The sequence below is a fragment of the Homo sapiens genome, chromosome 9 (assembly GCF_000001405.40).
Source record: "Homo sapiens chromosome 9, GRCh38.p14 Primary Assembly".
NCBI lineage: Eukaryota > Metazoa > Chordata > Mammalia > Primates > Hominidae > Homo > Homo sapiens.
This window is the reverse complement of record NC_000009.12, coordinates 100,491,627-100,517,559: the sequence shown is the minus strand read 5'-3', so window position 1 is coordinate 100,517,559 and position 25,933 is coordinate 100,491,627. Positions and strand designations below refer to the sequence as shown.

General features: G+C 38.0%; 2 protein-coding genes across 2 annotated transcripts in view, besides 3 other annotated features; both read right to left on the bottom strand.

Annotated features, from left to right (window-relative positions):
* MSANTD3-TMEFF1 (MSANTD3-TMEFF1 readthrough) overlaps positions 1 to 25,933 on the bottom strand; it is a 135,731-nt gene that overhangs the window by 60,077 nt on the left and 49,721 nt on the right. Inside the window, exons 2-5 of the mRNA NM_001198812.1 lie at positions 18,686 to 18,795; positions 8,426 to 8,555; positions 4,227 to 4,253; positions 789 to 885 (exon numbers count right to left, since the gene is read on the bottom strand). Of these exons, the coding sequence (NP_001185741.1) occupies positions 789 to 885; positions 4,227 to 4,253; positions 8,426 to 8,555; positions 18,686 to 18,795 (364 nt within the window). The remainder of the gene's footprint in view (positions 1 to 788; positions 886 to 4,226; positions 4,254 to 8,425; positions 8,556 to 18,685; positions 18,796 to 25,933) is intronic.
* Positions 1 to 25,933, bottom strand: part of TMEFF1 (transmembrane protein with EGF like and two follistatin like domains 1) — a 104,488-nt gene that overhangs the window by 60,077 nt on the left and 18,478 nt on the right. Inside the window, exons 2-5 of the mRNA NM_003692.5 lie at positions 18,686 to 18,795; positions 8,426 to 8,555; positions 4,227 to 4,253; positions 789 to 885 (exon numbers count right to left, since the gene is read on the bottom strand). Coding sequence (NP_003683.2) covers positions 789 to 885; positions 4,227 to 4,253; positions 8,426 to 8,555; positions 18,686 to 18,795 — 364 coding nt within the window. The remainder of the gene's footprint in view (positions 1 to 788; positions 886 to 4,226; positions 4,254 to 8,425; positions 8,556 to 18,685; positions 18,796 to 25,933) is intronic.
* Positions 2,177 to 2,677: an enhancer, noted in NCBI's record as "H3K27ac hESC enhancer chr9:103277165-103277665 (GRCh37/hg19 assembly coordinates)". NCBI's record gives its function as "activates a minimal SCP1, AML or CMV promoter by ChIP-STARR-seq in primed H9 embryonic stem cells {active_cell/tissue: H9 hESC(primed)}" and the evidence as "EXISTENCE:reporter gene assay evidence [ECO:0000049][PMID:30033119]".
* Positions 2,678 to 3,178: an enhancer, noted in NCBI's record as "H3K27ac hESC enhancer chr9:103276664-103277164 (GRCh37/hg19 assembly coordinates)". NCBI's record gives its function as "activates a minimal SCP1, AML or CMV promoter by ChIP-STARR-seq in primed H9 embryonic stem cells {active_cell/tissue: H9 hESC(primed)}" and the evidence as "EXISTENCE:reporter gene assay evidence [ECO:0000049][PMID:30033119]".
* Positions 25,095 to 25,595: an enhancer, noted in NCBI's record as "H3K4me1 hESC enhancer chr9:103254247-103254747 (GRCh37/hg19 assembly coordinates)". NCBI's record gives its function as "activates a minimal SCP1, AML or CMV promoter by ChIP-STARR-seq in naive H9 embryonic stem cells {active_cell/tissue: H9 hESC(naive)}" and the evidence as "EXISTENCE:reporter gene assay evidence [ECO:0000049][PMID:30033119]".

The following is a 25,933-nucleotide window of genomic DNA, read 5'->3' as shown; positions in this document are numbered from 1 at the left end:
TTGAGTGTTCTTAATTTGCAAAACTAACTTTGGACATTAATGCTAATTAGATCATATTATTACTGTTCAGTGAAAGGCTCGAATATGCAGTTACGGGCTGAATAAATACGGAACTGGAAAATACACACCAAAAATATGTACAAGTAAGGAAGAAAGCACAAATATCTTATGGAAATAAATGTTTTAAAATAGATACTAAGTGAAAACTGAGGAAGTGAAGAAGATCCATTTATGCTCCCAGGTCCTAAAGTCAACATTAAAGCTTTTAGAATCAAATATGCAAAAAGCCAGCACCACAGGAAAATGAAAGAAGAATGATATTGGAAATAAATAAGAATACTGATGAAAGGAAAAATCAAACATGACTGTTGATAAATGTCTGCAGCCTTACTGTTCTAAAAAAGAACACCATTTCTTACAGGGAATGAATGGGAAATTGGACAGACAGTGCTGTCAGCTACAAAACCTACCTTAATGAAGGCTGAACATGAGTGAGAAAAGCACTTGGTATAAAATACATAAAACTATAAAACTACAGGGAGGAAGAAAAGCATAGATAAAACCAGAAAACTATAAATGGATTATCATTCTAAAATTATAACACTTAAACTGATTTAAATAGCCATAGTATTATATCAATTTAAAAGTCAATAGACTAGCATTAAACAAAAAAAAAATTTGAAAACACACAAAAGATACAGAACCAGGTAAATGATACCTTTCCACAATATAATCATACTGATGATTAATCTCTAAATAACTTTGTCCCTTCCCCTCAACCAACTCACCCAACATTTTCTGCATCTTCATCACACTCAGCTTTATATTTGCAGGGTCCACACTTGGAGTGTTTTCTGTGAACTTCTGCCCCTGACCCTTCCTCTTCTGTTTAAAAAGAAAAATCAAATTTACAACCAAAAGTTGGGATCCTTTCCAGATATGCTTCATGTTTTCAGCAGTCATTATCCTGTTTCTGAGGAAAATGTACCTGAGCTCTTGAAAACAGTCACTTCCAAAATCTACCAATGCTTGAAGTTCAAAAATGTTGCCAGTACTGAGTACAACATATTTTGTGAGGAAAACAAGTTTTGGTGCTGAAAAATGATCCCTTAAACTATGTAGGCAGAACTACACAGTAGGTTTGATAATGAATTGCTTTTTTAAGAAAAATTACCATATAACACTGAATAAGGGAGAAAGAAAAGAGACAGGAGCAATACATTTAAGTCCTGTGATTACCCTCCTGTTGCAATCAGCCTGTGCAAAGCTGGTCAGCAGATAAGCGCCTGACCACAAAAGAATGTAACTCTCACCTTTTCCTCACATCAGTTTCATACTTGTCTTTCTAACTACATAAAAACTAATTTCAGAGTTTAAAAAAAAATACTTATCTCCAAATTTTAAAATGGAAAAGGGTCTCTTTGTAAAGGACTTTTCTTCTTTTTCTACTTGGTCACTTAGCACAGCCAAAAATATGCAGATACAAAAGTATGCAGGTCTCTTATGCTCCAACGCAAAAGAAAAAAATAAAAACACTAAATACCTCCAGCCCCAAACTCAGCTCACATTCCACACTGAAAGGGCCTTACACTTTGTGGGTCTCAACTAGAGTGGATCATATCCTGATAATCTCAAACTGGCCAGGGAGATCAGTTCTGAAATCAACTTAAGGATTTCAGTTCATTCAAGGGATTTCCCTCGAATTTGGTTTGAAAAAGAGTACTATTCAGGGAGTGTCTTTTTTTTTTGTTTGTTTGTTTTTCAGACGGAGTCTCAGGCTGGAATGCAGTGGCGCAATCTCAGCCTGGATGAATCTCAGCCTGGAGAATCACTTGAACCTCTGCCTCCTGGGTTCAAGTGATTCTCCTGCCTCAGCCTCCTGAGTAGCCAGGATTACAGGTTCACACCACCATGCCCAGCTAATTTTTGTACTTTTAGTAGAGACGGGGTTTCACTATGTTGGCCAGGCTGGTCTTGAACTCCTGACCTTGTGATCCGCCCACCTCAGTCTCCCAAAACGCTGGGATTACAGGCATGAGCCACCACACCCGGCCTCAGGGGGTGTCTTATAATAAAGATAGTGTTAAAAAAGGTACACAAATCTGCCATGCCTGTTTGGTAATGCTTCCGAACTTCTAATTTTTGGTGTCTGCCTGTCCTTAAATAGAAATATTCCCCTAAACTCTCATGAATACTCCCAAACAGATACCAGGGATTATCATCCTAAGTAATTCTGAGGCCCCAAAACATCATAATATTCAGAAATACTACAGTTACCATGAGCTCACTAAGGTCTGTATATTAACTGGGGCAAACCACTTAGCCCTTCTAACTCATGCTCTCAAAAAAAAATTTTTTAAAAATGGTCAACCTACATCCTCAGGGCAAGATATCCAGCATTTTTTGTTTTGTTTTGTTTGAGACAGGGTGCAATGGCGTGATCACCACTCACTGCAGCCTCAACCTCCTGGGCTCAAGCAATCCTCCCGCTTTAGCCTCCAAAGTAGCTGAGACTACATACCACCACACCTGGCTTTTTTAAATTTTTTTATTTTTTTATTTTTTGAGAAGGAGTCTCGCTCTGTCCCCCAGGCTGGAGTGCAGTGGCGCAATCTCAGCTCACTGCAACCTCTGTCTCCTGGGTTCAAGCAATTCTCCTACCTCAGCCTCCTGAGTAGCTGGGATTACAGGCGCCCACCACCACGCCTGGCTAATTTTTGCATTTTTAGTAGAGACGGGGTTTCACCACATTGGCCAGGCTGGTCTCAAACTCCTGACCTCAGGTGATCCGCCCGCCTCGGCCTCCCAAAGTGCTGGGATTACAGGCATGAGCCACTGTGCCCGGCCTTTTGTTTTTTTTTTTTTTTTTGGGGTAGAGACAGGGTCTCACTATGTTGCCCAGGCTGGTTTCAAACTCCTGGGCTCAAGTGATCCTCCCATCTCAGCTTCCCAAAGTTCTGGGATTTTAGGCATGAGCCACTGCGCCCAGCCCAATATTGTATTATATAAGCAAATCTTGAGATCAACTCTCACTTCTTTAATATAGGAACAATGACAATGACAGTTTCCTAACTGAATACCTGACCACAGGGGCTAGACTACATGATCGCCTAAAATCTGTTCCAGCTCTAAGATCTGGAATTTATTATCTGATCCTTCACACCTGATTATAAAGCTTCTGCTTGAACATGTCCATCTACTTCAAATTCTATTGTTTGAAAGCTTTAATCATTTTTTTTTTTTTTAGCTGAAACTGTCATCCTTGAATTTCTCCTCAGGACAGTTCTCCTATTCTCCAGGAGACCTTCAAAGTCCCTTCCAACTCTGAAATTTTAAGATTCTATGAAATGTAGACGTATGGAGTGAGGTTTCAGGCAGTTTTGAAAGGATCATAACTGTAGTTTCCATTTGCATTAAGTGTGAATTGTACTGAAGTGGGTGTTCTTTGGTGTACCCCATAATATCTCAAACATTATTTGGTATACAGTACATACTCATTAAGAATTATAGCCTCATTAGACTATGATATAGATTAGTCAATCTCAATTCTGATCATTTAAACTCCATTATATGCTATTACCAAATATTAATCTTTTAAACAACAGAAATAATTCATATATTTGTAAAATAAAATCAAAAACATAGATAGGAAATTGTTAAAGGTTTAAATTAAACTCTAAATTCCACGAGAGTTGTTGGGCAAGTCTTCCTTTTTCTATGCACAACTCCCTCTGGAGTTTTTAACCCTGTACCATGAAAATTCCTGATGAGCAAAAACTTGAAAGCAAGGTATGGGAAAGAGTTACAAATACTCTGGTCCAAGCTAAAATCACTTGTGGGGATGATGCAACCTCAATTTAACAGAAACTACAACATCTTCCCCTTAGTATGACAATAAACTTCCAGAGAAAAATGCAAGAAACAAGAATGCCTAGAGCTGAGAGGGAGAGTTGGGTTAGGAGTGATGGCTAAGGAGTGCATGGTTTCTTTTTGAGGTTATTAAAATGTTCTAAGAGTGACTGTGGTGATGAATATATAACTCTGAATATCCTAATGAATATATAACTGTGAATTTACTAAAAGTCACTGAATTTGTACACTTCAAGTGGCAAATTATATGGTATGTGAATTATATCTCAAAGCTGATTTAAAAAAAAAAAAAAAAAGAAAAAGAAAGAAAGAAAGAAAGAAAAGCAAATATCCTTTAAGAGGTACTTGAAACTTACCTCCTTCTCCAGATCCAGATCCATTATCTGAGAAGAAAAACAAAGAATGAATATGAACATTTTTCCCGGAAATTTCATCTTATCAAATAATAAAATTTCCTATCAAAAATAAAACTGTGATATCCATTCTCAAAGAGTCCTTTTCTCATATTTTTGATATCTTATTTATTCTTACATACTTATTTTATGCTGCTCTTAAAATATAAATTGCTTAGATACATAATCATCTATATTTCATACATCTTTGTATCCCATTAAGGACATACCCAGATGCTTTGCACAGAGTAAAGACAATAAATACTGTAAAGTAAAAGGCTAAATATAAATAATTAATTTTAATCCACTCATTTAAAAGATAAGAGAAAATTTTAGTTTTTGTTAAAGCTTGAGAGAAATAATGAATAAGCTGCTTTTATTAGAAAGGCAGGAAAAGAGCTTTGGGTCTTACTACAAAAAAAAAAATCTTCTTAAGGAAATCTGCGGATAAAGACCAAAAGCCAAAAGGTAAGAAAAGCCCCAAGGTTTAGGAAGCAAGGAACCAAAGGCTTGAGGTTTTCATGTTACTAATAAAATTAACTTCCTCTAGGAAATCCAATCCGAAGGACTTACCTGACTTGTCGCTAGTGAAATTAAAAAGAGCCTTCATCAAAGTTACCAGAAAGAAGCCAGTCTCAAGTACAATTAATGTAAAATATTTATTCTATAATCCTAAAGGAACCAACATATTAGCACAGAACATGTTGAAAAGAGGGTAATGATGTAAAATCATCAGCACAGAGTCATTTTAAAAAGCAGAGAGAGCAAGTGAGGAATTTGATGCTTTATCTAGCACTTGCCAGGGGAGAGGATACCCTGGATCCTAAAGAACCCATGCTAGCTCTCCAAATTGTCCTCTAGAGCAGAAAACAACACTCAGAACAATATTGTTCCCTTCCCTTCAAGCTCCTTCGGACAATAATCAAATTCCCAGATACCACAGAAACAGGAGGAATTAGAAAAATATATATTGTATGCAGTACCCATTGTAAAATCTTCATGGGATTTTATGGAAAGTCTTAAATTATGTTCAATTTTGATTAATCAACCACAAAATGACATTTTCTCTGAGTAAATAAGGAGGAAATGAAAGAGTGATGGAACAGAAAAAAAGACAGCGAGGGAGGAAACTCAAAATTGTTTTTATGACCAAACTCTTCTTAGGAAAACACCCCTTTATTACTTCGATTCCACATACAATGATTGGTTACATATTATGTGCCAGGCACCATGGTAAATGCGAGGAATAAAATGATAAATAAGACATATTCCCAGTACACAAGATACTACTCCCAATCTTTTTTTCAAACCATGTCTACTTTTAATAAATATAAAAATCTCATACCTTCGTCATTTAGAATCCTTAAATAAATTAAATACTGTGGCTACTCTGATAACAAGGTAGAATTCTCCCTGTATGTTATATTTTGTAAATGGTACGCATTGCCCCAACCTACACGATTCCGTCCCACCCTGAGATTACGATACACATCCCTAGGTAAGACAGTACCTCCCCACTGAGAAAGCACTGATTTGGCTGGAGGTACTTATGTCAGATGAATGAAATACAATATGGTATATGTATAGAAATACACCCAAGGTATAAACAAACTCTGCCAGGAGATGTCACAGAAGGAAGATTTCACAGAGGAGAAAAGGCTTAAGACCAACCTTAAGCATAAGAAAAAGAGTTTTCAAATAAGGAAAAGAGAATAGTATTTCTAGTTCAAGGAATAGGATCCACAAAAGACCAAATAACATAAAACACTGCCCACTCAGAAAATAAAATCAATATAGCAGCTTATAACTTTGCTCATTCAATCCTTATTTAACAACCCCAGGAGATAATATCCACTTAACAAGTTAAGGAATTGGGGCTCAGAGAGGCTTAGTGATTTGTCCAAGGTCACACAGTAAATAAGGGTTGGAGTTAGGTTAAGGCGAGGTCTTGTAACCCTAGCACAGTGCTCCCAATCTACCACTTTGCTGCCTAATGTTTAACATTAGGTGTTAACACTTGCTGTCTTAGACATATGCTCCTCATAAGTGAAACATAATTTGAGACTGGAAAGAACCTCCATATTCCTCTTTAATTTCTAGATCATTTTGTGAAACACAATGTACTTAAAGAAGTATATAAGAACCACACCAAATCATAGTCTACTAGACTAAAAACATAATAATTTCTCCAAGCACGTGATTATTTTAGTGTGTATAGAAAGAATTTGGCCTTCCTACAAGAGAGGTCTCGTCTTTTCCCTCTGCTTCCGGAAGGTAACCTACGTCATACCTGATAGAAGGATATTTGTTAAGGGAGGGTGCTGACCACACTGGAACTTAGTGTTGGGGGTTGGGCCACGTCTAAGTCTTAGGGTTGGGGCTGGTTACACTAGAAAGACCAATCATGAAGAGTAGAGTAGGGGTTACAGGTCACAGTATTAGTGGACCCAGAGTCTTCAATTAACCACACAACCAACTCATCAAATTATACTTACATAATGAGCCCCAATAAAAACTATGAATATCAGGGTACAATGGCTCACACCTGTAATCCCAGCACTTTGAGAGGCCAAGGCAGGCAAATTGCTTGAGCTCACAAGTTCAAGACTAGCCTGGGCAACATGGCAAAACCCTGTCCCTACAAAAAATACAAAAAAAAAATGAACCTGGCATGTTGGCATGTGTCTGTAGTCCCAGCTACTCAGGAGACGGAGGTGGGAGGATCCCTTGAGCCTGGGAGGTCAAGGCTGCAGTGAGTCATGATCGTGCCACTGCACTCCAGCCTGAGGAACAGAGTGAGATGCAGTCTCATAAAGAAAAAACTATGAACACTGATGCTCAGGCAAGCTTTCCTGGCTGGCAATACTCCATGTGCACTGCCACATACTGTAACTAGGAGGAGTTAACTCTGTCCATGCCTCCACTGGGAAAGAAAAATCAGCAACTCCATGTTTGGAACCTTCCCAGAATCTTCTGGGCATCTCTTTCTTTGGTTGATTTTAACATGTATCCTCTCCCTTCATAACCACGCATATAACAGCTGTCAGTGAGTCTGTTAGCCCTTCTAGCAAATTACTGAGCCTAGGGTTAGCTGGGGAACCTCTTGATCTCAGCTGGTGTCAGAAGTGAGAACAGCCTTGGAGACTGTCCCCTTTGACTTTGTAGTTGACCCTAAAATTGTCACATTTAGTAAAATGGAGAATTTCTGAACACTGTAATATATAGGGAAAGAAAGGAAGTGGAAATCCCCTAAGAATGGCCTTCACCTTTACCACTAACCTTGATATAATAATTCAAGTTACCTCACCGGCATCTCTATCCCCAAACATTAATACAAACACAAGAAAATAACATTAATAGTTCCCCAAATCAACCACTACCAATTCTGGAAGGAAAAAAAAGATGAAGTAAATACAAACAGCATGGGATGAACAGGTGGCAGAGAAAAAACTTGGAAAGCAACAATCTGTGATACTGCTAATGACTTTCTACAGAAATTCCTCACCTTTTTTTTTTTTTTTTCTGAGATGGAGTCTTGCTCTGTCGCCCAGGCTGGAGCACAGTGGTGCGATCTTGGCTCACTGCAAGCTCCACCTCCTGGGTTCACGCCATTCTCCTGCCTCAGCCTCCCGAGTAGCTGGGACTACAGGTGCCCGCCACCACACCCAGCTAATTTTTTGTATTTTTTAGTAGAGACGGGGTTTCACTGTGTTAGCCAGGATGGTCTCAATCTCCTGACCTCGTAATCTGCCCGCCTCAGCCTCCCAAAGTGCTGGGATTACAGGCGTGAGCCACCGCACCCGACCTTCCTCACCTCTTTTTAAAAAATCATCAAGACAGATCCCCTATCATTCCCCACCTCAAAGCTCATTCTGTCTACTGTTCAAATCATAAGGCAAAGGACATGCAAAGAAAGTAAGTCCCTATAAAAAGAGTGTTAAGCCTTAACAATGTAGTAAGGAGTAACATAAGTCTATACAAGACCACCTGGGGTTGAAAAGCAACAACCTGAAATGAGGGCAAAAAAGATTTCCCCTACTCCCCGCAACAACCACCACCAATCCACACAGCAGTTGTGGAAATATACCTCTGACTCAAAACCCCCTTTTAGAAATGATTCCACCATATTTTCCAAAATTTATTCAGAAGAATATCATACATACCAGAGTAGCATGGTCCTCTTGCTATTACTGTTATCTCTTTCTGGTGCTTACAAGCAGCCCTTCTGAGAAAGCATTCATTTTGATAAGTGTCCCCATTTGATCCACAGACAGGAATATAATTTGTATGGCACTGCAAAAGCAACAAAAATAAATTCTCAGAACTAGGCATGAATATTAATAGTTTATTTCACATTCATGAATGCAATACCATAGCATTATGACATACTTCGCTACTGAATAGTCTGGGGTTTTTTTTTTTTTTTGGCTTAAAAAGAATTATGCTACTTCTTCATACCTTTTTTCACATTCATAAGGAAAATAACTACCAACTATCCAAAAAAATGAGAATGAAAATCTCTATCTACTTCATTTGCTTGCTATGAAAAACCACCAAGGTAATAAGAGGAAATTATTGACAATGTAAAGAGTGCTACTTATGTAATAGCATTTTATTATTATCAAAATTCATTTATTCATTCAAACCTAATCATAAAAATAGAAAAAAATCATTATTCAAAACATCTAGTAGGCAAAGTCCCAAGGTAAATGGTACAGAAGACACAAAGAAATATAGGATGATCTCTGTTCTTGGAAACCTTACAATCTTGTCAGAGAGTCATACGAGTAGGAAAAAAAACCAATACTGCAAAGCTAGATCATGTACCAAATCAGTAAGCATGTGATGCCTAATACCTATTATTGTAAGCTGAAGTATTCAAGAAAAGCATCCTCAGAGAAAGTGGAATATGAACTGAGCCCTGAAAGATGAGTAGAAATAAGACAGGTGAAGAAGAAAAAAGGTAATACAGGTTTGAGAAATGACACTGGACCTGCATGTAGGAAAACCTGAAAACATCTACATGTTAGAAATATCATAAATGACTAAAGTTTTAAAATCTGGGGAAAATGTTATAACAATATGATACAAGTTATTATTACTTAAAAAATAGATCATACAAATTAATAAAAACGGGACCAAAGACAGACATGAAGTGTTTACAGAAAAATTACAAATGGCCAGTTAATGCATAAAATATTATTGATCTTCACTAGCAATCAGGGTTGTCCACTAAGATGAGATGCTATTTCCAACTTATAAAATTGGCTATTAAAAAATTCAATTAGGTGGACATCCCACTACACCAGTTTTGGTTCTACTTTGGGGTAACATAATTAAAGAATATGTTTCAAGAATCCTAAAAAAAGGAATACAGTTTTTGATCCAGAATTACACATTTAGAAATCAATGTGACAGAAACTTGTAGACAAACATTTATTACAGCCATTTCCAACAGAAATTTATAATATCAATAACCTAAAAATCTTAATATCTAACAAGACAATGTTTAATTGAAGTATAACTGTTCAAGAAATTAATATTGCAGTCATTAAGAATTACCTTTTGAACTTAAACAATCCAACAAGCAAAAGGCAAATAATTCCATTAAAAATAGGGCAAAGGACATGAACAGACACTTCTCAAAAGAAGACATACAAGTGACCAATAAACATGAAAAAATGCTCAACATCACTAACCACCAGAGAAATGCAAATCAAAACCACAAGAAAACACCATCTCACAAGAGTCAAAATGGCTATTATTAAAAAGTCAAAATAACAGATGCTTGTGGGACTGCAAAGAAAAGGGAATGCTACACAGGTGGGAATGTAAATTAGCTCAGCCACTGTGGAGAGCAGTTTGGAGATTTCTCAAAGAACTTAAAACAGAACTACCATTCAACCCAGCAATCTCATTACTGGGTAGGTACCCAAAGGAAAATCAATCATTCTACCAAAAAGACACATGCACCCATATGTTCATCGCAGCACTATTCACAATAACAAAGACATGGAATCAATCTAGGTGCCCAACAATGGTGAATTTGATAAAGAACATGTGGTATATATACACCAAGGAATACTACACAACCATAAAAAAGAATGAAATAATGTCCTCTGCAGCAACATGGATGCAGCTGGAGGCCAATATCCTAACTGAGGAACAGAAAACCAAATACCTCATGCTCTCATTAGTGTTAGGTAAACATTGGATACACATGGACATAAAGATGGGAACAACAGACACTGGACACTACTACAGTGGGGAGAGAGGGAGAAAGGCAAGCACTGAAAAACTACCTATTAGGTACTATACTCACTACCTGGGTGGCAGGATCAGCAATAAACCCATCTACCTACACATGTAGCCCTTGAAACTAAAATAAAAGCTGAAGTTTAAAAATAGTAATTGTAAAAAAGAATTACCTTTAAAAAATATATTGTGTGACAAGAAAAGCTAACAAAGTTAGGCAAAAAGCACATATATAATTTCTGGGAATTCTGTACTTTTTTTTTTTTTTTTTTTTTTGAGATGGAGTCTCGCTCTGTCGCCTAGGCTGGAGAGCAGTGGCATGGTCTCGGCTCACTGGAAGCTCCACCTCCTGGGTTCATGCCATTCTCCTGCCTCAGCCTCCCGAGTAGCTGGGACTACAGGCGCCCGCCACCACGTCCGGCTAATTTTTTTTGTATTTTTAGTAGAGACGGGGTTTCACTGTGTTAGCCAGGATGGTCTCGATCTCCTGACCCTGTGATCCGCCCGCCTCGGCCTCCCAAAGTGCTGGGATTACAGGCGTAAGCCACTGCGCCTGGCCTGAATTCTGTACTATTTTTAAACGTATTATGTATTCCACAAAGCTAACTGTAAATGTTTTAAATAATATGATAATATAAAATAAAATATAGCAAGAAAATAAAGTATATTTATAGCCCATTTAGAAAAAAATGAATACATGTAAAATAAGTCCTGGAATAAAATGTCAACAAATTTTTCACATTACCTGTCTTCATGGTTTCCCAGTTCCCTATTTAAGATTTTCCATATTTCTCTATTTTTCTTCAATGAGCAAGACTTACTTTTATCATTTATCTACTTTTAAAAAGTGATCAGATTTACTTTATGAAGCATACATATGGCATGCTACCACAGGTCAAGCACTGGTAAAAACAACTTCTAGTAAAATATTTTATAACCTAGTCGACTTTGTTATACATTCAGTATCAGCAGAATCTTACACCAACTTTTCTTAAAATTATATTTTTATTTTAGGAAGCCTCCCTATTATATATATTCCTCCAGTTTTTCATGGATCACATTGCTTTCTTCTCTTTCCCTAAAATTTACACAATACCTAGTATGATGTCTACATAAGTCAATGTTACTTTGTAATTATACAATACTCAATTAGCCAAGGAAACTACTATGAGCTCCAAGATATCAAGTGCTAAATCTATGAACTTTCCAATCCCACTTCATTCCTCAACAAATGCTTACTTTCTAACGTAGTGTTGTGTTCACAAAGGTGCCAATATCGCCCCCTAGGGGTGGCTGTCCCTGTGGAGGCATTTTTGGTTGTCACATTGACAGACGGACATTACTGTAATTTACCAGATAGATTCCAAGGATGCCTGAAGTACTGCAAAGGAAAGGACAGTTCCATACAACAAAAGCAAGTACCACACAACTTCTGAATGTCTCTCTGGCTATTCATGTAGGAATTTTGACAAGACTTTCCTTAATACTACAAATCAGTCTGATCTGTTATAACTTATCCTAATATTGGTTTTTATTCTAGCATCTACTAGACATCTACATTTTTGTTTCATGTACTCCTGGTATGAAATTGCTTTTAGTTGTTTTTTTTTTTTTTTTTTTTTTTTTTTTTTTGAGACAGGGTCTAGGTCTGTCGCCAGGTTGGAGTGCAGTGGTGCAATCTAGGCTCACTGCTATCTCCGCCTCCCAGGTTCATGCAATTCTCCTGCCTCAGCCTCCCAAGTAGCTGGGATTACAGGCACACACCACCATGCCCAGCCAATTTTTGTATTTTTAGTAGAGACGGGGTTTCACCATGTTGGCCAGGATGGTCTTGAACTCCTGACCTCGTGATCCGCCCACCTCGGCCTCCCAAAGTGCTGGGATTACAGGCATGAGCCACCGCGCCCGACCTGCTTTTAATTTTTTTAATCCAAACATTTATCATAAGCAGACACAAACATCTGATGACTGTATTTTCTTCTATGGTAATCATACCTAAGCATTTACATTCTGAAATATTTATTTTATTATAAATTACTTTTATTTCTCCTTTACATTGCAATCATGCATTAAATTCATTTCTTTAATCATGTGTTTATGTAGGTTAATTTATCCGTGAATTTCTTCTAAGGATAGTAAAGAAACTGAATATTAAAATGAAGCATTAATTCTGATAGGGCTGAGAATCTTCACATTTTTTATCCAGGAAGCATTAGTCTACAACTTTAAGTGTCCTAACTTAAATATCATAAACCATGTGAAGCACATGGTTGAATGCTTAGAGCTAAGGCTATAAAGCCAAAAATGTTTGAATTCAAATCCTGGGCCCACCAACCATGTGACTATGGGCTAGCACCATCACCATGTTCAATGGTGTACAACGGTGATTATAATACTACCTACCTAACAAAGTTGTTATGAAGATTAAATAAGATAATCTACCTTTGGCATTTCTATCTGACCATGGTACATTCTCAATAAACATTAGCTATTTTGCTATTGCTAGTATCATTTCTCAGTCGTAAGTATTTGCCAATAGTCACTAATAAGTGGAAGAGCCACAATTCCTCCCATATGATGTATTTTAACCACTACACACTCAAGTTAAGTCAGTGGTGTATTGCCATCTGTCACTTGGTGACACTGAGCAGAGGACTTAATGTCTCTGAAATTCACCCTCACAAGCATATACCTAGGAGTGAGTGTGAGATGGGAGAAGTAGACCTGCTGTTGGTCATTCTCAGTTTCCATGGGTCTCTCCTGGAAGCCTCTAATTATGCTAATGGACAAATTATGGGATTTGGACAATTTTAACAACATGCGATTTCTGACTTATGCACTGATGGTGGATTCTAAGTCTAACCTAAAGTCTGCTCCTCTATATTGCCACCCTTGTTGGGAGGAAGAACTCTCCCCTGTACCTTTTCTTTAGCTAGAAGAATGTGATGATGTTGCCAGCTATTTCAAGTAGTTTAGAAAGATGGAGCAGTGTACGACTCTGGAACTGCATCCATTCAAGCATTTATTGTGTACCTACTGTGTGTCAGGAACTATGCTGAATACAGCAAGTAGAAAATAATAACAAGGTTGTGATGATTAATTTTCTATGTCAACTTGACTGGGCCCCATGGTGCCCAGACTAAACATCATTTCTGGGTTTATCTGTGAAGGAATTTCTAGATGAGATTAATATTTGCATCAGTGGATCAAGTAAAGCAGACTGCCCTCCCCAGTGTGAGTGGGCACTATTCAATCCACTGAAGAACTGAATAGAATTCTTCTCTCCTTTTGCTTGACCGCTTAAGCTAGGACATCGATCTTCTCCTGGTGCCCAGGCCTTCAGTCTCAGATAGGGACTTGTACCACTGGCTTTCCTGGGCTAGTATACAGATGACGGACTGTAGGACTTCTCAGCCTCCATAATCAAATGAGCTAATTCCTTATTGCTCGCTCGCTCTCACATTCGTGTGTGTGTGTGTGTGTGTGTGTGTGTGTGTGTGTGTGTGTTTCTGTTTCTCTGGAGAACTGTGACTAATAAAGGGTCTAATAAGAGGGCATGGCACCTAGCAAGAGCAGACATTGATAAATACAGGAAGAAAGACACATAGTTCAGAGAATGCCAGAACAAAGATGAAGAAAGAAAACAGGAAAAAAAGTCATAGACTGTACTCTATACAAAGTTTTCAGGGAAAGATGCAGTATTAATCATGTTTCTATATACCAAATTAGCAAAAGTGGCTTTGTTTATATGTGTGGCAAGATAATAGCTCTTATTAGCAGACTAAAAAAAAAAACAATTTGAATTTTTATTTAAAATCCTGTTATCTGTTAAAATGTATTTAAATAATGTCCCAGAAAGCTTCTATTTAGCACTAAAAGCATGCTGAATCATAAGCAAGTTTTTAAAATGAATTGAAAGATACTGCTAAAGCATCCAGCAGAGAAGGGTTTAATGGGCATGTCAGGTCATTATTTTTAAGCTGGCAATAACCTAAGTCTACCCTGAACAGATTTATAATCTTATAAAGGAAGGCAGAATGGTCAAAGGAAGGTTCACTCGGCAGCAAGATCAAACTATACTGTAAGCCCTGAGGCAGTTTGCTCCTACAAGGCAAGGAACCAGTCTTTAAACATCTTTACATCCTCAGCATCTAGTCTCATACCCAGCACAAGTAAGCACTGGATAAATGTCTAATGGTGTCAACTCCCAACATATTTTCCTTCCCTGCTTTGCCACAAGGTAAAAATGCAAGGAATTCAGACAGATCATGGAAGGATTTTCTAGCTGTTCAAGTATATTTTTTAAAACGTCAAAAAGGCTATTTCTTTATAATCTTAGAGTTTCAGGGAAATACTTTTCTCAAAAAATGAAGAAAAGCAGGGCTGGGCATAGCAGCTCATACCCGTAATCCCAGCACTTTGGGACGCCAAGGTGGGAAGACTGCTTGAGCCCAGGAGTTCAAGACCAGTCTGGGCAACCTAGAGGTCTTGGCGCTACAAAAAAAAATTTTTTTAATCAGCCAGGTGTGGTGATGCACACCTGCTGTCCCAGCTACTCAGGAGGCTGGGGTGGGAAGATCATTTGAGCCCAGGAGGTCAAGGCTACAGTAAGCTATGATTGTGTCACTGCACTCCCGCCTAGGCAACAGAGTGAGACCCCGTCTCAAACAAAAAAAAAGACAGATAAATATAAGGTGAAAATCTGAAATTTCTTTGTGTCTAAAATATAAACAAAATGAAAATGAAACTAAGATATACAATTATTTTTGTCAATTAAAAATACATAGTGTTAAAAAGAAAAACAAAAAAATGAAATTAGGATAACTTCTTTAAAATATAGAGTTCTTTGGAATCTATTGTTCCTGGAAAGGAACAATCTCCAAGATAAATACTATTAAATGATTTAATATTTAAAAGGGGAATTAAACAAATTTATATACACACAAAATACTTCTAGAAGGAAATGCAAGAAGTAACAGATGTTGCCTTTGAGAAGAGTTGACAGTCTGGAGTGGAAGCTTTTTTTGCTACATATCTTCTTATATTGTTCAAGTTGTTTACTATGGGCATACATTACTCTTTTTAAAAATAAATCAAAGTAGCCAGGCGCGGTGGCTCATGCCTGTAATCCCAGCACTTTGGGAGGCCAAGGCAGGCGGTTCACGAGGTCAAGAGTTCGAGACCATCCTGGCCAACATGGTGAAATCCCGTCTCTACTAAAAACACAAAAATTAGCTGGGTGTGGTGGCATGCACCTGCAGTCCCAGTTACTAGGGAGGCTGAGGCAGGAGAATCATTTGAACCCGGGAGGCGGAGGTTGCAGTGAGCCACGATCGCACCACTGCACTCCAGCCTGGCAACAGAGCGAGGCTCCATCTCAAAAAATAATAATAAATAAATAAAAATAAATAAATAAATCAAAGCAGCAGGTTCTCTTGAGAGTTTATGAGTTAATGAATATCAAATGCTCAGCATAGTAAGCAATATATATATATTCCAATATTGTATTGCACAGAGTATGTATATATGCATACACATGTCTTTACAAATCAACATGAGGGAAAAAGAAAATACCCCAGAAACTAGACACAGAATATGAAATATTAATTCACAAAAAAAAATGGTAACAAATATACAGCACATTTTCAATTTCTCTAGTAATCAAATGCAAATAAAAATTGTTTTTGCCTTTCAGATTTGTAAATTTAAAAGGACCAACAAAATCCACTATCAAAAGGTTGAGGGGAAACAGGACATCTGATATGAGGCTATTGGTGATAATGTTAATCTGCACATGAGTATCCACTGGCCCAACAATTCCACCTCAAGGAATTTAACCTAAGGAAACACAGCAGCTGAAGAGGAGAACAGCCCCGGTCTTCCCCACACAGGATGACTAAATCTTCAACAACAAAACCCACCACCTTTCTTTTAATGAACCAGATAACAGACTTGAGGACAATCACAGCCACTAAAAAGTGAGAGGGAAATCTCGGAAAGGAGAGAGTTCGAGGGGAGTCCCAGTTTCCGCGTATAAACTCAGAGCACGTTTCTGGCAGACCCCTAAACCACACATGGGGCAGACTCCAAGTAGCCCCAGTGAGGCTAAAAGAAATGAATTGATACTTGTGTTGCTGCCCACCACAAGTAAGGCAGAATCTGCAGTTTGAATTCAGCCAACGGTTTCAAAAATAACAATAATCTTCAAAGGAACATAACAAAACTCACACACTCTAAAACATATGATTCACAATGTATAGGATAAATTCAAAGTTACTCTAATGTGAAGAAACAGGAAAATATGGTCCATTCTCACATGAGAAAACAATCAACAGAGGCAATACCTGAGGATGTCCTAGATATGGACATTAGCAGACATATTTTAAAGCGGCAATAACATCTATGCTCAAGGAAAATATGCTTACAGTGAATGAAAAGAGGAAATCCCAGCAGGTAAACAGAAACTGTAAATTCTAAACATAAAAAATCTACAATTAAAAACTCACTGGATGGGAAGAATGGAGATGACAGAAGAAAGGATTAGTGAACCTGAAGACAGATCAATAAAAATTATCTAATGTAAAGAACAGGAAAAAATTTGGGAAAAAAATGAACAGAGTATCAGGGACCTTGAGACAGTATCAAAAGGTCTAACACATCATGGAAGTCCCAGATTATAAGAAATAATAAGCAGAAAAAAAATTTTAAGAAATAATGACAAAATATTTCTTAAACTGAGTAACAAATAGATTTCAGAAGTTCTGCCAACCCCAAGCATGATAAGTTCAAGAAAAACCATACCACAGTACTTAATAGTCAAAAACAGTAAGGAAAAAATCTTGAAAGCAGTCAGAGAAAAATGACACATTAGGTTCAGGGGGAAAACAGTTCAAATTATCACCGACTTCTCATTTCATTCTGGCTAAAGTCACCTTCCATGCTATGCAGAGCTCTATGGAAAGGTGCTCTTGGCAAAGAAATGATGTCTCCAGCCAACAGGCAGCAGGGATCTGAAGCCAGCCAAAAGCTACCTAAGAAAGCTTGGCAGAAGGTGGCTGATATAAAAATGCCCAAGAGAAACCCTCCTATCATTCTACGTAATTGAATGTAAAGCCCCTTTCAACCATGAAGAAACTGGCTGGACAACAGTATACCTACATACCCTTCCTCCTTTACCTAAACTCTCCACTTCTTTTAATTAAAATAAACCACCTGATGGTTTACAGTTTTCAAAGATGTTTCATATGCAAGCTTTCTTTCCAATTTTGATTCTCATTTACAGTATCATAAGTAAGGGTAGGAAACGTGCCTTCACTTTTCAGATAGAATACTGATGCCAAGAAAATTACCTGAGCTCATACAGAAATTTGCCTGAGGTCACAGGGTTACCAGAAATACTAACTCTCCTATGCTTTCGTTTCTGATTTCTGTGCCCTTTCTTCCCCTCAAAACCCAAATGGTGGGTACGTTTAGAATAAAATTGTGAGTGGAAAAAAAATTCTAGTTCCTTTTTCGCCTCATATCAAATCAACCATCAGAGACCATCTTGTAAGAAACATTCTGAAGTCTGATTACCATTTAACCACAGAAAATAAAAAGAAAGAATTAAATATAACTATTTCCCTTGTTTTACTTTTTTAGACAACAGAATCACAACTAAAAGAGCATCTGAAAAGCAAAAATATTTACACTCTTAGTTTGAGGTTCCACTTGCTATTCGAGCTCTAACCTTGACTTACCCCGAGTCTCCAAGTCAGTCAAGTTCTGTGGCCTGAAGAGATGAGACAGCAACAAATAAGAATGGAAGGGAAAGAGACAGACTAGAAGGAGAAGAAAAGGAAAAAGATGCCAACATTTAAAATAAGAGACTCTAGTTCAACCTGTACCTCTTTCCTTTCAGTGACAATTATACCTTACATTTAAATAGAAATTTGACATTTTTTTCAAAGAATTGTCACATCTATTATTGTCAATCTGTCCTCTCAATTCCATGCAAGCAGTATGGAAGATACAAATAACAGGGCATCATCTGACAAAAAAGAACTGAGGGGCTGTGACCCCAATTTCTTTATGGGGTTCAAGGTGTTTTAGGTTTTTTAATTTGAAGAATTTAGAATTATAAAATACGAAGAATATAAAACTTTTCAAAATAGGCTGGGTTTCCTCACCTGAAATTGGCATGCACATTTCAAACCATCTCCATCTTCTTTACAGACTCCTCCATATTTACATGATGACTCATCACAAACTCTTACGTCAGACTCCCTCACATTTAATTCTGCAAAAGAAAAAAATTGTTTGACATATATATTTGGCTTTTTATTACGTGTGTGTGTCTGTGCGCGTGTGTGTGTGTGTATGAAAAAGTCCTTAAAATGTATTGAGCCCCCCCATTCAGAAGTGTAATAAGACATAACTATACAAAAAGAAATTCTGTAAGACACAAAATGCTCAGTATTCCCCAAACAGAATCCTGCATAGTAATGAGCCTAAAAGTAACTCAAAATAGAACTCAAAATTTCAGGACTTAACATAATTTCCAAAGGTAAATCTGTGGAATTTTTCCATTTTGCCTTCTAAGGCCTTAAGGTAGCAATCTTACTATTTCTTATTTAACATTTTAGGTTATTTTTCTAGTAAGTTACTTTTAAGGCTAATGAGAATTAACAGTAATATTAATTAAATGAGATAAAAATTATCTTAATTATTTTGGTATGCAGAATAAATTTTGGGTGATCATTATTCATTCTAGGCAAACTATTTTAACTACAAAAGAACAGTGAATCTGAATTTCATACAATAAATAATATGGAGCATTTGTGTACACAGAATTAAAGAGATTCAAAATCTTACTAGACTTAAAACTTTTAATGGACTGAATTAAGTTGACTCTACCAAAGCAAGCAGAGCCAATCAACAATACCAGAATTCTGTGGTCATATTGCTCCTGCTCCAACATTAAGCATCAAATTAAGCTTCAAGGTTAGTGCTTGAAGCTGCCAATCAGTGAAAGTGGGTGAAAATCACTACAATGCAATTTTCATATACTTTGTATGGGGAATGAGAGCTTACAAAAACAAATGCACTTAGGCAAACAATAAACAAATGACTGTTTAAAAAAAAAAAAACCATCCCAGTGTAGTGGTGAATACATGAGTCTGGGAGCAGAGAGAGTCCTAGATTAACTCCTGATTCTGCTGCTCAAAAGCTAAGACTCTCTGGGAAAAGAGCAAGGACTCCTGTATCTCTAGATCATGATGAGGTCCCGGCAAAGAGATCTAAGGGAGCATTTCTCCAGTTATCCCCATTCCTGGTTGTTTTCTATTTCTAGATTTCAAAGCAGGACTCAGTAAACTAAGTCAAGGGAATTCTATGTCCGGTGACAACTGTCCTAGTGATATTTCATTACCTCTCTCTACCCCATTTATTCCCACTGCTCTGCAGTGGTGTCTTGGGTCTCCTACTCCTAGCTCACCCTCCGAGGAGCTGGCAATCAAGTACCTGAATCCCTAAGGAGTTGACAGTCAACAGTACCTACTTGAGTAGTCACTGTCAACTAAGTACTGCACAAGGGCAAGATCACATCTAGGTGGGTTACAAAAAAATTATCTTTCTTAAATGATTTCTGGGTTACAAAAAATTATTTTCCTTAAATGATCTCAGGTGCACAGAACTGGATTAAAGCTCAAGCACTCACCAAAAAAAAAAAAAAAAAAAAAAAAGACATGAGTGGAAACTTAAAGCAAGAGAAAGCTAACACAAGCATTTTGTTATTCTTACTGTTTCACAAACTATTCCAGGTAGAGAAGGCCATCTTTTCATTCCTCATCACCCTGGCTGTGGAAGCTTTATGTCCTTGGTTCTCCTTACCTCCCCATTTTTGCTGTCTCTTCCCTTTCCCCCTTGACCTTGCTTTAGCTCTTGAGGCTCAATCCTAGGTATAGGGATTTTCCCCCTATCTACCCACACTTCTGCTAGGAACTTGGACAAGGTCTGGTTCCAATTACTATCAAAGACACATCTTCAGACAAAAGGAAGATAACAAAATATTAATAAAGAACTGCCCTGTAAAAGAGGGTAAGAATGTACAATATCTGCTCAACTAAGAGCTTAATCAAGTTTAGGGGCTACAGAAATAAGAACTGCACAATTTGACTAATGAAATACAGTGCATTTGTCTTTTCTCCTTTCTCTGTAGGCTTAAAGTTCACACTGGGTTCTATTACAACCAGACATAAAAAACAAGAATAAGTAAAGTTTTTATTTTGTCTGCGAGGCAAGATAATACTCTGAGTTATGATTTGCTACTTTGAGACTCTTGAATTGTAATGTTTTACCTGTTGTACTTTACAGGTACAGTGGATTGCAAGCTAGAACCTAAACCATCCCTGCCACCAGGAGTCACATTTGGTAACCCCAAGGAATGTTTGTATGAGGGACTACAGAATACTTTAGGGGAATAATCATCCCTGCTAATGTGAGGCAGAAAAGCTTGGTCCCACTGGCTGGGCCTGGTGGCTCACGCCTGTAATCCCAGCACTTTGGGAGGCTGAGCCAGGTGGATCACCTGAGGTCAGGAGTTCAAGACCAGCTTGGCCAACATAATGAAACCTTGTTTCTACTAAAAATACAAAAATTAGCTGGGCATGGTGGTACATGCCTGTAGTCCCAGCTACTTGGGAGGCTGAGGTGGGAGGATCACTTGAACCCAGGAGGAGGAGGCTGCAGTGAGGAGATCGTGCCACTGCACTCCAGCCTGAGTGAAAGAGCAAGACTCTGTCTCAAAAAAAAGAACTTGGCATAAACACAGCCTTGAACAAGAGAAGTGATCCTGAGCACAGTCCCTTCTAAAGACTTGGTTTGCTCCTCCAGCCCAGCTCCAAGAACTCATAACAGAGACAGAGGAGCTACAACAAAGAAACTAAAGAATGATTTTCACTAAAAACGAAGTGATAAGCTCTGCTTTGATGCTCACACAAGACATAATACATGGGGAGAAAGGAGCTGGGACACATCAACAGTCCCTGAATATCAGCAATGTATCTAGCAGGATAGCATAAGACCAAGGAGATGGTAGTGTCGGGCAAAGAGGCAGACCTCTGATATCTGACAGGAGGTACCAACGTGCAACTGCAGAGGCAGCAAACAGCACAGGAAGAAAAAGACAGGTGTCATGTAGCAGTGGAATGCATTAGTGGGCACACATCAAACACAATTTGGTGACTCCCGGAATAAATCTTGGAGGGAGGCATTTATGAGGGTGCTAGAGGTCCTATATCATTAATAGGTAAGGGTAAAAGTCATGAAATTCTGATTACTCTGGTTATTAGTCATATTTTATTTTATGCATATCTTGCTATCAAATCCATGCTAGTTTCATGTGTGTTCATGCATAAATGTGATTAGTTTATCATCAGAAAGCCATTACTAAGCATCTACTAGGTACTTAAAACTATGCTAAGAATTTTGGACACACAGGAAAAAAATGTAACGGGATGATCTTGCTAATATATGCAACAATTAGTGATGAATTCAATACAGTCTATAATTAAGGGGCTAAATGCGTCATACAGTCTATGACTGCTGTAGGAGTTCAAGAGACAGGGGACAAAACTGGATTTGAGGCATAGGGTGCAGTGTCAGAAAAAACAAGACTTGTATTGACCTTGAAAAATTAATAAGGCTTTTTTATCATAATAAAGCTAATACAGGATCATTATAAAGAATTTGGAAAAGATATTTTAAATATAGAATGTTCTAATTGCCCACAACATATGAGTAATAGTAAAAGACAGGAAAGAAAAGAGAACGTTTTTATCTAGGAAAACAATGTAAGTGAAAGCAGAGAGAAAGTAATTTCATAGTACACACAAACAATATTAATATCAGTGGTTCCAAAACCATGTTCCTCAGGAACACTGGTGTCCTGGACTAGGGTGTGCCTTCATTAAAATCAAATATGAAATTTTCTCATTTGCAAACGAAAAAAAAATCAACAAAAAAAACTTCTCATTTTTAAGGGGTTTTTTCATTTATGTTTCTTAAACCTTCAATATCTGAGATTATTTCAGATTTGTTGCTGGCTATCAACTAACATCAGATGATTTCAGATATTTTGCTGGCTAGCAGCAAAAGTATGTTCAACAAATAGGTAAGGAATACTAATACAAATATTCCAACAATGTTTCATGAGAACACAGGTCAGGTCATGAATGTCACAAGCTCATGAATGGACATTTTAAATTGTTTTGTAGTTGCAGCAGTCACTGCTAATTGCCTACCTTGGATCTATTCTCCCCTTCTTACTTAGAGAACTCCAATTTTGTTCAGGGAAACAAAGTACCCAACTAAATAACCTACATTTCTTGGCCTCCCTCGCTCTGTGTTCATATGTAGGCACTGTCCCTTCCTCCTTCATTCTTCCTCTGTTTTTTTCCTTGACTGGAGAGCAAACCTGTTGCCTAAAGTTGCAGCAGCCAAAAGATGACAGACCAGAAAGACCAGGAGCAAGACAGTAAGATGGAGGAATCATAAAATCACCACACCGCCTGTGGATTTCCTCTTTCCAGACTTACCATTATAGAAAATAATGTATATAAATGAATACATTTTTTAAAAAGCCCTTATCATATAAGCCACCACTGGTCACACCATTGATACATGCAAACATAATTCCAATAGAATGATTGTGTGTAAATTTAATAAGATAAATATTTCTAAGCAATGGTCTTAAAAAATTTTGTGCTACATCAGAGACCACATGATAAAATTTATCAAGAGAATCATGACTTGCTGGTGCTCTGACACCTTACTTTTTTTTTTTTTTTTTTTTTTTTGAGACAAGGTCTCACTCTGTTTCCCAGGCTGGAGTGCAGTGGTGTGAACACGGCTCACTGCAACCTCTGCCTCCTGGGCTCAAGCGATTATCCCACCTTAGCTTCCCAAATAGCTGGGCCTCAGCCTTCTGAGTAGCTGGGGGAACACAGGTGTGGACCACCATGCCCAGCTAATTTTTGTATTTTTTGTAGAGATGGGGTTCACCATGTTGCCCAGGCTGATCTTGAATTCTTGGGCTCAAGCCATCTGCCCACCTCAGCCTCCCAAAGTGCTAGGATTAGAGGCATGAGCCACCACACCCAGCTGATTTCTAACAAATTTGAGAACAGAATCACTGCCTTAGCTTAAACCCAATACAGAAGGAATCTATTTTGGGATCATCTTCTGAATGTTCTTTGTTTTCAAGTATTCTGTACAGTACCAGGCATCAAGAGGACATTCTACTACCTGTCAATGATTATGATGATTACCCACCTGCCTTCCTGAAACCAAAATGGAAATTCAGTAAAACGGATGAGCCATTACTAAGGCCCTCAAAAATGAATTCTCCAAATAGAAATGTTTTACACAAAGAAGTACTCACAAGAGTTGCTCAGAACAAAATATTTTGCTCTTGTTGCAAATCTGCCCCACAATTCTCAAAATGTAAAACTTGTCTCGAGAATTTCATTAACATTTCAAAGCTCAGAAACAATACACACTAGTGGGAGAAACTCTGCTTTCTATGAACCTGAGCTGCCCAAATTCCCAACTTCTGGCAGCAACAACTAGGTTCAGGCTCTGATTCAAAATGAGATCCAGCAGCCTTCCAGAATGATACGACTTTTCTACCACCCTTCCGTTAAAAAGAAAGGTAGTTTTGGGGATCTTATGAGTTAGCTAACACTCACGGAGAGCCAAAAGGAAATAAACTTCATTAGATGTTACAACAGAACTCAGGGTTTCTCAGTCTGGGCACTATTGACATTTGGAACCAGATAATTCTTTGTTGTAGGGAATATCCTGTACACTGGAGGTTGTTTAGCAACAGTCCTGGCCTCTGCCCACTAGATGCCAGTAGGACCACACCAGCTCTGACAACCAAAATTGTCTGGACATAAGCAACCACATCCTGTGGGGGGGAGAGGGGGGAAGGGGGCAAAACTGTCCCCAGTTGAAAACTACAGTAAAGGGAAAGCAAACACTTTACATCTAATTCTCTGACACAATCACTACAAGGAAAATTAGTCAAATAATCGGCAATCTCAAAAGATCTCAACATACTGCCACAGCTATTCTCCATTTCAGTAGAGGAACCTAAATATATTGATTCCAAGTTTATGTTAAATCCCCCACCTTTAATAGTACCTTAACCTCCAGCAGGCCTCACTTCCTCCTTCTTCCTATAGCAACTCTTCTTCTTCAAGGTCAAAGCAACCTCAGATCCAGTGGCTTTTTTCTTAAATCCTCCAATCCTTTTCTTGACCCTTCTAGAGCAGTTGACACTTCTGGCCTCCCCTTGTAACCAAACAGTCTTCATTATCCCCCCAATTTTCTGACCTCTTTTCATTTACCCACTCCTTTTTCCTTCTCCTACTGCCCAGTCCGTGTCAATAACACTCTTAGAACTTATCTCCAACTTAATCAACTCTCCAGATTAACCAAAGTGTGTCATTCTCTATAAAACCTACAGAGCAATGCCTATGGCACAATGAATTCTCAAGGCTACTAGGCCCTCTCTAGAACATCCATGAGCACTTTAGCTCCAACCAAGGTAGCTGTTCTTGTGCTTCAAGAGTCAGCTACCCAGCCTATGTAGTTGTTACTACAATTATGTGATTTCAACATTTCATATGAGTGAAAATAAATTACTTCTATGAAAACTAAACTCAAAGACTTGAATAAGGTGAGCTACTTTTTAAAAAAAACCTACAGTTGCATTTAGAATTCTGCATCCACAAGTCTTTAGCTTCCTTTTTAAAGGGATTAAAACTGGAGTTTGTTATCAATGCATTATACAAGTGGTTTGTTCAAGAAAGAGGAGGCCAGGTGCGGTGGCTCACGCCTGCAATCCCAGCACTTTGGGAGGCCAAGGCGGGCAGATCATGAGGTCAAGAGTTCAAGACCAGCCTGGCCAACGTGATGAAACCCCGTCTCTACTAAAAATACAAAAATTAGCTGGGCGTGGTGGCACGAGCCTGTAATCCCAGCTACTCGGGAGGCTGAGGCAGGAGAATTGCTTGAACTGCGACCCAGGAGGCAGAGGTAGCAGTGAGTAAGATCGTGCCACTGCACTCCAGCCTGGGCTACAGAGCGAGACTCTGTCTCAAAAAAAAAAAAAAAAGGAAAGAAACTATTCTCAAAGAAAAATTATAGGCCCTCTTTCAAAATATTTAATAAATATGTGTATGTTAAAATAAAATGTTACATGCACTTATGAATCATTTTTGTGACTCCCTACTTTAAATAACTTTCTCAATTAACCAAATAACTACCAGATTCTTATGGGACCAAGACAAAAGGATCCCTACTGTATAGTAAATGTTCTGCCTTCAACCATCCCATGTGTCATCTCATTTTGTTCATTCTCTGGCAGTATT